General features: G+C 35.1%; 1 protein-coding gene across 2 annotated transcripts in view; it reads left to right on the plus strand.

The window, feature by feature from the left end:
* VPS13B (vacuolar protein sorting 13 homolog B) overlaps positions 1–14,900 on the plus strand; it is an 864,307-nt gene that overhangs the window by 474,561 nt on the left and 374,846 nt on the right. For both annotated transcript variants that reach the window (NM_152564.5, NM_017890.5), the window contains exon 26: positions 13,853–14,024. In NM_152564.5, coding sequence (NP_689777.3) covers positions 13,853–14,024 — 172 coding nt within the window. The remainder of the gene's footprint in view (positions 1–13,852; positions 14,025–14,900) is intronic.

Genomic DNA, 14,900 nt, shown 5'->3' on the forward strand with positions numbered 1-14,900 from the left:
TATCTGTTTCTTTGTTGCTGGACATCTGGGTTATTTCTACCCTTTTGTCTGTTGTGGATAATACTGCTTTGAACACTGGTGCACAAGGGTTGATGAATTTTTAATGAAATAGTTTTGCCTTGAAGTAATTGTATGCATGTTATATGACTTGCACCTGAAAAACCATTTTAAAACTCATGTAGTACTAGAAATAGTATTTAATTTTTTAACTGTTGAATATGTTGATAACTGATGTATTTGGTTTAAAATGCAGAGGGAGGGGAAAGAAAGTAAATTGAAGTATTTTTAAAGATACTTTATTCGGTGCTGATTTTCTGATTTAGAAGAGCACATTTCTGTCATCTTAATATCATTTGCTTAGTACTATCCTGAATGGTCCAGAATTATAGTAGCACTTAATATTATCCCTTACTGTGTTCAAGTATATTTCAAAATTTTGGCAGAAAATATGGGTCCCAAAGAGGAAAAAAGGGAAAATTCGAGTAGTCTGTTTAGTTTCTATAGTAACCCTTCAAACAAAAAAAGAATGTTAGTAATTGCTTTTCTCTAAGGTGTATGTTTTTTTTTTCCTCCTGGGGAAAACTAGCTAAACTGTCTACTACTTTCCTACTCTTTGTTGTTATGAAGTCTCTCTTTTCTCCTTTTCTCAGTCTTAACAATTGGCTTCCTCTGACTTTGGTGTAATAGTTTTGTGGAACTTGATAAGTGAGCAAAGATCTTTGTCTTAATTCTGTCAACTTACAGTTGTATTTTCGAAAAAGATTGTCAGACGGATACTTTAGACCAGCATTTTTATTTTATATACTAGAAAATTGAAACCCAGAGAATTAAAATTTGTGTTACTGTGTAGGGACTGGGCTGACTGATATTAGCTTGATTCTAAGTTAGTGGAACCTCTGGAAGAGACTTTGTAAATTTGTTTAAGTTCTTTGTAGATTCTGGATATAAGCCCTTTGTCAGATGGGTAGATTGCAGAAATTTTCTCCCATTCTGTAGGTTGCCTGTTCACTCTGATGAGAGTTTCTTTTGCTGTGCAGAAGATCTTTAGTTTAATTAGATCTCATTTGTCTATTTTGGCTTTTGTTGCCATTGCTTTTGGTGTTTTAGTCATGAAGTCTTTGCCCATTCCTATGTCCTCAATGGTATTGCCTAGGTTTTCCTCTAGGATTTTTATGGTTTTAGGTCTTACATTTAAGTCTTTAATCCATCTTGAGTTACTTTCTGTATAAGGTTTAAGGAAGGGATCCAGTTTCAGCTTTCTACATATGGCTAGCCAGTTTTCCCAGCACTATTTATTAAATAGGGAGTCCTTTCCCTGTTACTTGTTTTTGTCAGGTTTGTCAAAGATCAGATTGTTGTAGATGTGTGGTGTTATTTCTGAGGCCTCTGTGCTGTTCCATTGGTCTGTATCTCTGTTTTAGTACCAGTACCATGCTGTTTTGGTTACTGTAGCCTTGTAGTATAGTTTGAAGTCAGGTAGCGTGATGCCATCTCCTTTGGGTTTTTTGTTTTGTTTTTTTTTTTCTGCTTAGGATTGTCTTGGCAATGCGGGCTCTTTTTTGGTTCCATATGAACTTTAAAGTAGTTTTTTCCAATGCTGTGAAGAAAGTCATTGGTAGCTTGATGGGGATGGCATTGAACTTACAAATTACCTTGGGCAGTATGGCCATTTTCACGATATTGATTCTTCCTATCCATGAATATAGAACGCTTTTCCATTTGTTTGTGTCCTCTTTTATTTTGTTGAGCAGTGGTTTGTAGTTCTCATTGAAGAGGTCCTTCCCATCCCTTGTAAGTTGAATTCCTAGGTATTTTATTCTCTTTGAAGCAATTGTGAATGGGAGTTCACTCATGATTTGGCTCTCTGTTTGTCTGTTATTGGTGGATAAGAATGCTTGTGATTTTTGCACATTGATTTTGTATCCTGAGACTTTGCCAAAGTTGCTTATCAGCTTAAGGAGATTTGGGGCTGAGACAATGGGGTTTTCTAAATATACAGTCATGTCATCTGCAAACAAGGACAATTTGACTTCCTCTTTTCCTGCTTGAATACCCTTTATTTCTTTCTCCTGCCTGATTGCCCTGGTTGGAACTTCCAACACTATATTGATTAGGAGTGGTGAGAGAGGGCATCCTTGTCTTGTGCCAGTTTTCAAAGGGAATGCTTCCAGTTTTTGCCTGTTCAATATGATATTGGCTGTGGGTTTGTCATAAATAGCTCTTATTTTGAGATAGCTTCCATCAATACCTAGTTTATTGAGAGTTTTTAGCATGAAGGGCTGTTGAATTTTGTTGAAGGCCTTTTCTGCATCTTTTGAGATACTCATGTGGTTTTTGTCGTTGGTTCTGTTTATGTGATGGAATATGTTTATTGATTTGCATATGTTGAACCAGCCTTGCATCCCAGGGATGAAGCCAAAGTGATTGTGGTGGATAAGCTTTTTGGTGTGCTGCTGGATTCGGTTTGCCAGTATTTTATTGATGATTTTCGCGTTGATGTTCATCAGGGATATTGGTCTAAAATTCTCTTTCTTTGTTGTGTCTCTGCCAGGCTTTGGTATCAGGCTGATGCTGGCCTTATAAAATGAGTTAGGGAGGATTCCCTCTTCTTCTATTGATTGGAATAGTTTCAGAAGGAATGGAACCAGGTCCTCTTTGTACCTCTGGTAGAATTCGGCTGTGTATCCATCTGGTCCTGGACTTTTTTTGGTTGGTAGGCTATTAATTTTTGCCTCAATTTCAGAGCCTGTTATTGGTCTATTCAGAGATTCGACTTCTTCCTGGTTTAGTCTTGGGAGGGTGTATATGTCCAAGAACTTATCCATTCCTTCTAGATTTTCTAATTTATTTGCATAGAGGTGTTTATAATATTCTCTGATGGTAGTTTGTATTTCTCTGGGATCGGTGGTGATATCCCCTTTATTATTTTTTATTGTGTCTATTTGATTCTTCTCTCTTTTCTTCTTTATTAGTCTTGCTAGTGGTCTATCTACTCTGTTGATCTTTTCAAAAAACGAGCTCTTGGATTCACTGATTTTTTGAAGGGTTTTTTGTGTCTCTATCTCCTTCAGTTCTGCTCTTTGATCTTAGTTATTTCTTGTCTTCTGCTACATTTTGAATTTGTTTGCTGTTGCTTCTCTAGTTCTTTTCATTTTGATTTTAGGGTGTCGATTTTAGATCTTTCCTGCTTTCTCTTGTGGGCATTTAGTGCTATAAATTTCCCTCTACACACGGCTTTAAATGTGTCCTAGAGATTCTGGTACTTTGTGTTTTCGTTCTTACTGGTTTCAAAGAACATCTTTATTTCTGCCTTCATTTCGTTATTTACCTAGTAGTCATTCACGAGCAGGTTGTTCAGTTTCCATGTAGTTGTGTGGTTTTGAGCTGAGACATCCGCTGTTAGTCTGATGGGCTTCCCTTTGTGGGTAACCTGATCTTTCTGTCTGGCTGCCCTTAACATTTTTTCCTTCATTTCAACCTTGGTGAATCTGACAATTACGTGTCTTGGGGTTGTTCTTCTCAAGGAGTATCTTTGTGGTGTTCTCTCCATTTCCTGGATTTGAATGTTGGCCTGCTTTGCTAGACTGGGGAAGTTCTCCTGGATAATATCCTGAAGAGTATTTTCTAACTTGATTCCATTTTCCCCATACCTTTCAGGTTCACCAATCAAACATAGATTTGGTCTTTTCACATAGTCCTATATTTCTTGGAGGCTTTGTTCCTTTCTTTTCACTCTTTTTTCTCTTATCTTGTCTTCTCACTTTATTTCATTAATTTGATCTTCAATCACTGATATCCTTTCTTCCACTTGATTGAAACGACTATTGAAGCTTGTGCATGCATCACGTAGTTCTCGTGCTGTGGTTTTCAGCTCCATCAGGTCATTTAAGGTCTTGTCTACACTGTTTATTCTAGTTAGCCATTCATCTAACCATTTTTCAAGGTTTTTAGCTTCCTTGCGATGGGTTCGAACATGCTCGTTTTGCTCGGAGAAGTTTGTTATTACCGACCTTCTGAAGCCTACTTCTGTCAATTCGTCAAAGTCATTCTCCATCCAGTTTTGTTCCATTGCTGGCGAGGACCTGCAATTCTTGGAGGAGAAGAGGCGCTCTGGTTTTTGGAATTTTCAGCTTTTCTGCTCTGGTTTCTCCCCTCTTTGTGGTTCTATCTACCTTTGTTCTTTGATGTTGGTGACCTACAGATGGGGTTTTGGTGTGGATGTCCTTCTTGTTGATGTTGATGCTATTCCTTTCTGTTTGTTAGTTTTCCTTCCAGCAGTCAGGCTCCTCAGCTGCAGGTCTGTTGGAATTTACAGGAGTTCTACTCCAGACCCTGTTTGCCTGGGTATCAACTGCAAATATTGCAGAACAGCAAATATTGCTGCCTGATTCTTCCTCTGGAAGCTTCATCCCAGAGGGGCATCCGCCTGTATGAGGTGTCTGTCGGCCCCTACTGGGAGGTGTCTCTTGGTCAGGCTACACGGGCGTCAGGGACCCACTTGAAGAGGCAGTCTGTCCGTTCTCAGAGCTTGAATGACATGCTGAGAGAACCACCACTCTCTTTAGAGCTGTCAGACAGGGACGTTTAAGCCTGCAGAAGTTGTCTGCTGCCTTTTGTTCAGTATGCCCTGCCCACAGAGGTGGAGTCTAGAGAGGCAGTAGGTCTAGCTGAGTTGCGGTGGGCTCTGCCCAGTTTGAGCTTCCCTGTCACTTAGTTTACTTACTGAAGCCTCAGCAATGGTGGACACCCCTCTCCCCGCCAGGCTCCTGCCTCGCAGGTTGATCTCAGACTGCTGCGCTAGCAGTGAGCAAGCCTCCCTGGGAGTGGGACCCATGGAGCCAGGCACAGGGTGGAATCCCCTCGTCTGCTGGTTGCTAAGACTGTGGGAGAAGTGCAGTATTTGGGCGAGAGTGTACCGTTCCTCCAGGTACAGTCTGTCATGGCTTCCTTTGGCAGGAAAGGGAAATCCCCCAACCCCTTGCGCTTACCAGGTGAGGAGACACCCCAGCATGCTTTGGCTCACCCTCCATGGGCTGCACCCACTCTCCAACCAGTCCCAATGAGAAGAATCAGGTACCTCAATTGGAAATGCAGAAATCACCCATCTTCTGCGTCGATCTCACTGGGAGCTGTAGGCTAGAGCTGTTCCTATTCTGTCATCTTGGAAGCGACTTCGAAATTATTATATACGTAATTTATCTCCTTTATTCTCTTAATGTGACTAATTATATCGATTGATTTTCACATGTTCAACTGACCATGCATTTCTAGAAAAATCCCAGTTTAGTTGTGATAGATATTGCTAGATTGAGGTTGCTAATTGTTTAGGATTTTGGTATCTATAGTCATGAGTGATACTGACCATTTTTACCATTTTAAGTATATAATTCTGTTGAATTCTATATTTTTTTCTTATAATAGCCTTGTCATCTTTTGGTATTAGATTAGAAGTTTATACTCTCTTTATAAATGAGTTAGCAAGTGTTCCCTCTTGTCCTACTCTCTAGAAAACTGTTTTCATTTGAAATTTCTCCTAATCACTGTATATTTCCATGTTAAAAAAGTAATCTTAATTGAAAAGGTACTTGGCTATAACACATATCTGATCTAAATTTGAAAGTCTTAGTTTAGATGTCATTTAGAAAATTATTTGAAGAGAGAGAGAATGGGTTGGGCGTGGTGGCTCACACCTGTCGTCTGAGCACTTTGGGAGGCCGAGGCAGGCAGATCAGCTGAGATCAGGAGTTCGAGATCATCCTGGCCAACATGGCAAAACCCCTTCTGTACTCCAAATACAAAACTTAACTGGGTGTGGTGGCGTGTGCCTGTAATCCCGATTCGGGAGGCTGCAACAGGAGAATCACTTGAACCTGGGAGGCGGAGGTTGCAGTGAGCTGAGATCGTGCCACTGTACTCCAGCCTGGGCGACAGAGCAAGACTCTATCTAAAAAAAAAAAAAAAAAAAAAGAAAAGAAAAAGAAAAAGAAAGAAAGAGAATGAAATGGTAAGGACCATATGGACAAAGGACCCTAATTTAATAATTTTAAAGAGAACACAGAGAAGCATCTTGATCCTTTTTCCATCTCCAACACTGATATAGCTTTGTTCCTAGAAATTAAACTTCATACTATGTATTGATAAAATAATACTTAATGATAAGATAAATATTTCTATCCCACTCCAGTGGCCCAATTTATGTCAAGTAAAACTAATGAACATATAGATGCTAAACACATGTAATGTGTTTTTGTTACTGTACAATCATGATTTTATATTACTATAAGTTTTTTGGCTTAATTTTTTTGTTGTGGTACAATATACACAACATAAAATGTACTGTTTTTACCATTTTATGTATACAGTTCTGTGGTATTAAGTACATTCACATTGTTATACAACCTTCACAACAGTCTCCAGTATTTTTTCATCTTCCCCAACTGAAATTCTGTATCCGTTAAAAAATAACTCACCATCTTAATATTAAATCTTCCAATGTATGAACACTGGATGTCTTTCCATTTATTTGTGTCATCTTAATTTTTTTTAAAGATATTTCATAGTTTTCATTATGTCTTTTACTTCCTCAGTTATGTTTATTCTTAAGCATTTTATTATTTTAGATGCTATTGTAAAGGGAATTATTCTGTTAATTTCTTTATTGTTTGCTTTTAATGCATAGAAACACAACTGATTTGTGTATGTTGGTGTTGTATCCCACAACTTTGTGGAATTCATTGATTAGTTCTAAAAGTTTTCTTGGAATCTTTAGTTTTATACATATATGATCATGTCATGTGCTAAAAGACATAATTTTACTTTTTCCTTTCCAATTTGGTTGCCTTTTATTTCATTTTGTCTCCTAATTTCTCTGGTGAGGACTTTAGTAGTTTTTGAATAAATTTTCCAATTTATTTTGAAAATATTAGACAATATTTTGAAGTTTACCATAATTATCTCTTTTTATAATTTTCTTCTCAAGGGAAACCTCTAACATTCTTTTGGCTGTAAGTAAATTCTGTACAGATAGCCAAAGACATATTGACAAACTGGCCCTTTATTGCTTTTACTTTTTCCATGTTAGTTGTACTTTTTATACTGTTTTTTTTTTCTATCTTAAATATTTGTTAAGTCAAACACTATAGATTACAAATAAAATGATTCAGACTGGGAGACTTCCACTGACACAGAAGTAAAGATGTCAAATAGTGATTATATTGTTTCAGTGCCATACTGGATGTGAAATATAAACTTTCCATCACCATTCATCACTCATTATCTTTATTAAAGGATAACCCCAATTTATCTTAAGTATGGTTCAAAGTAGGTTCTAAACATAGTCTTCTTCATAATATAGATGTTGAATAATTTTGGAATACTAACTCACATTATGATTAATTTAAATCACATTTATTGTGGTACATGGCATAGACATGCATATGTTCATTAAGTCACTACACATATTTTTATGTAAATACGTAAAACTATATTTACAATATGAGTTTGTATTTTCAGTTTGTTTTTTGTCCTTAATCATTTTAAACATAATTATTTTCTTTTATTTTTTATCAGATCTGGTATCTGAACTTCTTTAGAGTTGAATCTGACCACTTGTTGTTTTCTTAAATCTTGTTCATGTTGGATTGTTTTCTTTGGCACTGTGTAATTTAGTGTTGGGTGATTCTCATCAATGGAACTTCTTCTATGAAGCCCTTACATGGTGGTTGAGGGCCTGTCCTCTGACAAAGACATTTTATGTGTTTGCTTCTCTAAGGGACTTCAGCAGCTGCCTCTAGCCTGGGACCCCTATACTGTTAATCTTACAGCTAGAAGTTTTTTGAAACATTTAGGCAGTATGAAATCAAGTCCTTAAACCTACTTGCACTTTAGAGTTGTTTTTAAAAATTTTCTGGGGTAACTTTGTTGCCCTACTTAGGCTGAGATAGATATTGCTTTTTTATTGGGTTTATTCTGTTGTTTTTTGAATTTCTTAAATTTTATTCTTAGCTTATTAATATTCAGTATTTTCTTTAAAATTGATTGATGAAAAGGCGGTTGAGGCGTCTGGTGAGTAGTGCATGGCTAGGAATAGCCCTGTGGTGATTTGGAGGATCAGGCAGGCAAACCTAAGTTATTAAGACATAGTCCTTTATCATTTGAGGAATTTATAATATTAGTGATGGGGCATGGATGTGCGTATAAACATAATTCCAAAGTGGGCTGGGAAATTTAGCCCATAGTTGGATTACCGTTACTCACAGACAACTTTGTATTATAGAAGGGAGAGCAAAATTTGGGAATACAGCCACCTGTTTCTGCCACACTCACTGTTGCATTGGTTTTAAAGATAAATAAAACTTTATATTTTATGAAGAACATACTGCACTGTACTTCAGCTAGGTGAAGTTGTCAAATTTTTGTTGAGGTCAGTGGTCTAGAAAGTGGAACATTATATAATTATACTCATTAAAATTTTTATGCTATTTTGCTTATAGGACAATACAACAATAAAAACTGCCATTAAAAGCACTAACATTAGACTGGGCATGTTGGCTCACGCCTGTAATCCCAGCACTTTGGGAGGCTGAGGCGGGTAGATCACGAGGTCAGGAGATCGAGACCATCCTGGCTAACACAGTGAAACCCCGTTTCTACTAAAAATATAAAAACTTACCCAGGCGTGGTGGCAGGCACCTGTAGTCCCAGCTACTTCGGAGGCTGAGGCAGGAGAATGGCGTGAACCCGGGAGGCGGAGCTTGCAGTGAGCCAAGATCTCGCCACTGCACTCCACCCTGGGCGACACAGCAAGACTCCATCTCAGGAAAAAAAAAAGCACTAACATTTTGATGATTCCTCTTCATGACAAGTAAACAAAGCAAACACATACATACGTACACAAGTACACACACATCCTTCCCTTACAGGATACTTTCATAACCTGTATGTCTTTGGGAAACTGTTATAACAACATAAAATCATATTTTGGATCTCTGGGTTTTCAGTAGTTTCAATAAATGTGATTTTAAAGGATTATATTCTGTTGACAAAATTAAATTCCTCTGAGTTGTGATTTTAGGCAAATTATTTAGTGTTTTTTTCATTTTAACTTTTTCTGTGTATATAAAATGTTTTTGGTAACGTCTTCCTTAATCACAGCAGTAGTATAGGAAGTAATTTCAAAGCTGTAGAATAATCTAAAATTCTGAGTGAATACTAGAATATTTATTTACAAATAATTTATTTGTAATATATATAAATATATATATTTATGTAATATAAAAATATATTTATATATTTCATATATAAATATATATATTTATGTAATATAAAAATATATTTATATATTTAATATATAAATACATGTATTTATATATTTAATATATATAAATACATGTATTTATATATACATATATGTATGTATTTATGTATCATATATGTATATATTTATATATACATAAAAATGCATATATACATAAAATAATATGTATATATTTATATACACATAAAATACATATATACATAAAATAATATGTATATATTTTATATTTAAATATAAAAATATATTTATGTAATATAAAAAATTATTACAAATATTTACTCTACCTAAAGTAAGAATTGATATATTAACTACTCAATGTTTGGAAGCTTAGGGTCATGGCAAAGTGTGACAAGCATTGTTTATTGATTCAAGAATTAAAATTGCTTTATTATCAGCGTTGTTAAAAAAATTAAGCATGAAGTGGTTCCTTTTTTAATGTCCAGTAACTGTTGAACATACATTGATAATTGAAAAGTGAATATTGGACTGAGAGATTGTTTGGCATCAACTTCAGAGTTGTTGACAGAGTTTGCTGTAGTAGCAAAACTCTTGTCAGTTTTTCAGTTATTCAAGTGCAATTAACCTATGCAGTAATCTACCTCAAATTATTATGCAAACAACCGTTTAGATAGTATATTTAGTTTGAATTTACTCAATTGCTATTTTTAAAATTTCTTGTAATTGTTTTAAAACTCCTGAAAATACTTATGTCATTTCATATTTTTCCTTAAATGGTTTTGTTCTTAACATTTAGAGAGAAACTTTTATTCAGAATGTAGAAATCATAACATTTAAACTATCATCTTATTTGAATATCTATGAAAAAAATAAATATATCAAAACAGGTTAGAAAAATGAAGGTTATTGTTTAGCCATCACATACCATTCAACACAATATTTTGTGTATGAAGCCTTTCCTATTTCAAAATATTCATATAAAAATGTCTTTAAATTATTGGCTACTTGATTTTTAAAAGCTCAGATAGTTTTATCATGTAAATATAAGCTAATAATCTGAGGTTAGCTTACATTTCTTGTGTTACTTGTATTAATTATGTATCTGGGGAACACTTTGAAATTGCAGGTTTGATTTTTTTAAATTACAATTTGCATTCAAAAACAATCATTAAAATTTTTAAACATTTTACTATTAAAACATTGTTTTTCTTGCTTAGTTGGGTCAAAACTATTGAATATAGAGAACTTACTGTAAATGAATCTAGTTTAAGAAAACACATTCTAGGGAAAGCATTAGGAGATATACCTAATGTAAATGATGAGTTAATGAGTTAATGGGTGCAGCACACCAACATGGCACATGTATACATATGTAACAAACCTGCATGTTGTGCACAAGTACCCTAGAACTTAAAGTATAATAATAAAAAAAACAATAAAAAAGAAAATAAGCTCATGAAAATAAAAAAAAGAAAACACATTCTAACAATTGTTTGTATTAAATGGAAATATTTGTTTATATGATCCTTAGATGATTTATACTTTAAACTATGAGTAATTCTTTTCATGCTGACATGTTGATGGGGAGCACTGTACTTTTGTGCACATATAGCTGCAGCTTCCTGTGTTTCAGTCTGAGTCATGGTAAAGTGGGAAATATGAGTTTGAAGCTTAAGTACTGAGCTTAAAACACTTAATCATTTTTTCCCACTCTTGCATTGAAATAGTGGGAGCAAAGGTAGTTGAGACCACAGCAGGCCACTTGTTACTGTTGACTTAAGTACAAACAGTGGTCGAAGTGTTTAGCCCTTTGGGAAGTTTTGTAATTGAACAAGAATGCAGGAGTTATTTTGATAAGATAGAGTAGCAATGGGGCCAAAACTATGATCATCCTTAAGCTCTGAAGCAGGCCAAGGATGAAGGGATATAAAGTGTTTGCTCTTCCAAATAAACAAAGATAAATTCACCTAGGAAAATAAACTTAGCATTTGGTCAATTTGCAACAAAATGGTAAAAGAATTGAACTGTTTATTTTAGAACTTGGCCTAAGGATGTATGGGAAAATAGTTCAGCATCTCCATTTCCGGCCTGATTTTCACAACAGATTTGGAAACAGAGCAGAAAATTAATGCACAAACATGTTTAACAATACCAAACAAAATGCTGTAAATCCAAAATGAAAACTGAAACTGCATGAGGAAGTACAGCAAAGCTTTTACTGAGGAGTGCTTACTAAATTTGCAGCCACAGTTTTCTTAGCATTCTTACCAAGTATACCAAGTAGTGTTAAAAATTGAAGTCTTAGTGATTCGAGATGTTATTTTCTCTCAGTTCTCCATCCTTGGAATATGATATTCTTCTGTCTGTTGGAAGGAGGGTTTAATTTAAGCATACTTCTACTCTATAAACCTATACATAAAGAAAGGCTATATATATTGCCTTTTATTTAATAAGCATCCTTATCTGGAATTAGTTTATGCTTTTTATTAGATGTTGTGTTGCATTAGACAGCTAACCAAAAACCTGATTTTTTTATAGCTTCTCAAGTTGTAGGAATTTCTATTGTAGCAGATTTAGAACTACTTATTTTGTAAAAGCATTTATATGAAAACTGCACAAACAGTGAGATATTTGCTTTGCTTGGTGTATTTGGGACAAAGAGTAACTATACTGTCTTCAGGTTTAACTCTATAATTTTCTCTAATAGTAAATCCCAGAACACTGTTACTTTGCTATGCTTGGTGCCTAAGTGTTCTTGCAGTAAACACTTGCCTGTCATTCTATGAAAATCTTCCCCATTGGGCCTCCTTCTGAGGTTGCAGGGAAATTGAATTTTCTTCTGACTGAAAGATGTTATAAAACAATGAGGTTAAAATAAAAGCCTCATGTAGGAGCTGAATATACCTGTGTTTAGATGGCATGTCTGTGGTAATGAGAGCCGGGACTTTGGTTTGTTTTGTACAGGATTTTAATTATCATTCCTGCTTTTAAGTGTTTAGAGATTAGTGGCTTCTGCTCTGACAACCTGTCTATAAAAAATGGAATACTGACCATATTATATTGTCTTTGTTTAAATTTTAAGGGGTATTTTGTTCTGACAGTTAACTACTGGTTATGACTCGTTAGCACAGGAAATTAATATTTTTGTTTGAGACATTCAAAGCAATAAACTATTGGAGGTTGAGGATATACGGCAAAACAAAACGTGTCTGAAGTTAGAAAGATGAGAAAATGAGAATTCTATAAGAATGTGAGTGAAAAATTTCTTAAGCATTAGTTCAACTTGATAATGATAATTATAACTACAATTTATGAACTATTTTCTATGTGTATATTCTTCATTCACATTCATATTTCTATTTAATCTTAACTGTATGAGATAAATATCACTATAATAACCATTTTACAGAGGAGTGTACAGTTAAACTACTTGCCTCAAATCACTTGACTGGCATCTGACTTCGTTAACCCAGTACACCATACTGCCTGCCAGACTAAGCTTAACTAAGTATCTGTAACTGATATGTAAATATATATACATCTTTTAAACAAATAAGAATGTTATATTGTGTTTGATCAGTTTTCAGAGTATATGGGTTTAAGCTCGCAAGTTTTGTTTGCAAGGTTTAAACGGACAGCAAAGTTTGGGATTTTAGGAACCCAATACTTCATAGCTAATCCTAAAAGAACTCAACATATCAATGATTGCAGCATCTCTTCTGCATTTGAGACTGAAGCTGTTCAACTTTAAATAAAAGGGTTTATTTTATTCTGGCCTGCTAAAAGCTGCTGAAAAGACCAAAAACAAACAAACAAGACTTTGACAGCAAGTTCGTTAGCACTGACTTTAGGACCTTATACATATTCAGAGTTCAGTATGTATTTGTTGAATCGGATAAGCTTATGCTCTATTCCACTAAGAAAGCTTTAACCATATAAGACACTTAAAAAAATCTATTGTCAAATCTACTAATTTTTAATGTCTCCTTAATTAACATGCAAGGCATGATTAATATTTTGCTGTTTCTTAAACTGATAATCACTTTGCTATAGTTATTCTAGATTCCATTATAAATACTCTATAGAAGGGGTAGACAAATATTTTTCTGTAAAGGGCTGGTTAGTAAATACCTTTGGACTTTGTGGATTGTAGCTTCTCTGTAGCAACTACTCAACTCTGCTGAAAAGAAGTCATATGCAGTCAGTACATGAACGGATTTGGCTGTGATCTAGTAAAAATTTATTCCCCAATACAGACAGATTAGCCCCTTCACTGTAGCTTGCAGACTCTACTCTATAGGAACATACTCATTGGTTTAATCTTAACCTTTTCTAGATCTTAACTACTTTTAGAGGAAGCTGGAAACATGCATGTGCTTTCTAACAATAAAAATCATTTGAGAAGTGTATGTTTATACATTAGCATTATGTATTGGTATTAACATTTATATGATTATCATTTGCATGTAAGATGTGAAAAAGTTACAAATAATAATTTCTGATTTTAATTTATAATTTGTATTTTCTGTTATTTTTGTTTATGTTACAAAGTAAGATTTTTTTTTCTCCTCATCCCAGGGAGATTCTATACAAGCAGGTGAGGAATCACCATTCTCAGATTCTGTGACCTTGGAACAAACTACAAGTAATATTGGAGGAACCAGTGGACGTGTTAGTTTATGGATGCAGTGGGTGCTTCCCAAAATTACTATAAAGCTCTTTGCTCCAGATCCTGAAAATAAAGGCACAGGTACAGGATTCCTTTTCTTTCTTCCCTCCCTCCCTCTGTCCCTCCCTCCCTCCCTCCCTCCCTCCCTCCCTTCCTTCCTTCCTTTCTTTTCTGTCTGTCTGTCTGTCTGTCTGTCTTTCCGTCTGTCTGTCTGTCTTTCCTTTCTGACAGAGTTTTGCTCTTGTTGCCCAGGCTGAAGTGCACTGGCGTGACCTTGCCTCACTGCAACCTCTTCCTTCTGGGTTCAAGTGATTCTCCTGCCTCAGCCTCCCGAATAGCTGAGATTACAGGCGTGCACCACGACACCCAGCTAATTTTGTATTTTTAGTAGAGACAGGGTTTCTCCATGTTGGTGAGGCTGGTCTTGAACTCCTGACCTCAGGTGGTCCGCCCACGTTGGCCGCCCAAAGTGTTGGGATTACAGGCATGAGCCACCATGCCCGGCCTGGATTGCTTTTCTTCTTTACTGAAAAGTGCAAATATTAAACGCTATTTTGGAAGAAATATTAAATGTAATTTATTATTGTCATTTATAATTAAATAATTATTATTAGCTCTAATTCAAGTAATTTCTAGTTGCAGTGCTAAAATGTTGAATCTTATTAACATTAAAGGTTTACGTGTACATATTTTCCTTGACTTTGTAATACATAAATTTTGTCCTGTTTGTATTAAAATTCATCTAAAAGACCATGAGGAATTTTCCTCAATGGTCATATTGATACATTATAGTATTGTCACTAAAAGTATTGGGAAAATCCTTGACTGATATCAAATATAACACTCCAGACATTAACTGGGCTTTCCCCTTTCTTGAAATAAATGTCTTATCTTAATAAACAGGCCTATGCTGATTTGCTTATTATTCTAGAAGCTTTTGTGATCTCAGCGCCTCTG

Source organism: Homo sapiens, chromosome 8 (assembly GCF_000001405.40).
Source record: "Homo sapiens chromosome 8, GRCh38.p14 Primary Assembly".
Taxonomy (NCBI): domain Eukaryota; kingdom Metazoa; phylum Chordata; class Mammalia; order Primates; family Hominidae; genus Homo; species Homo sapiens.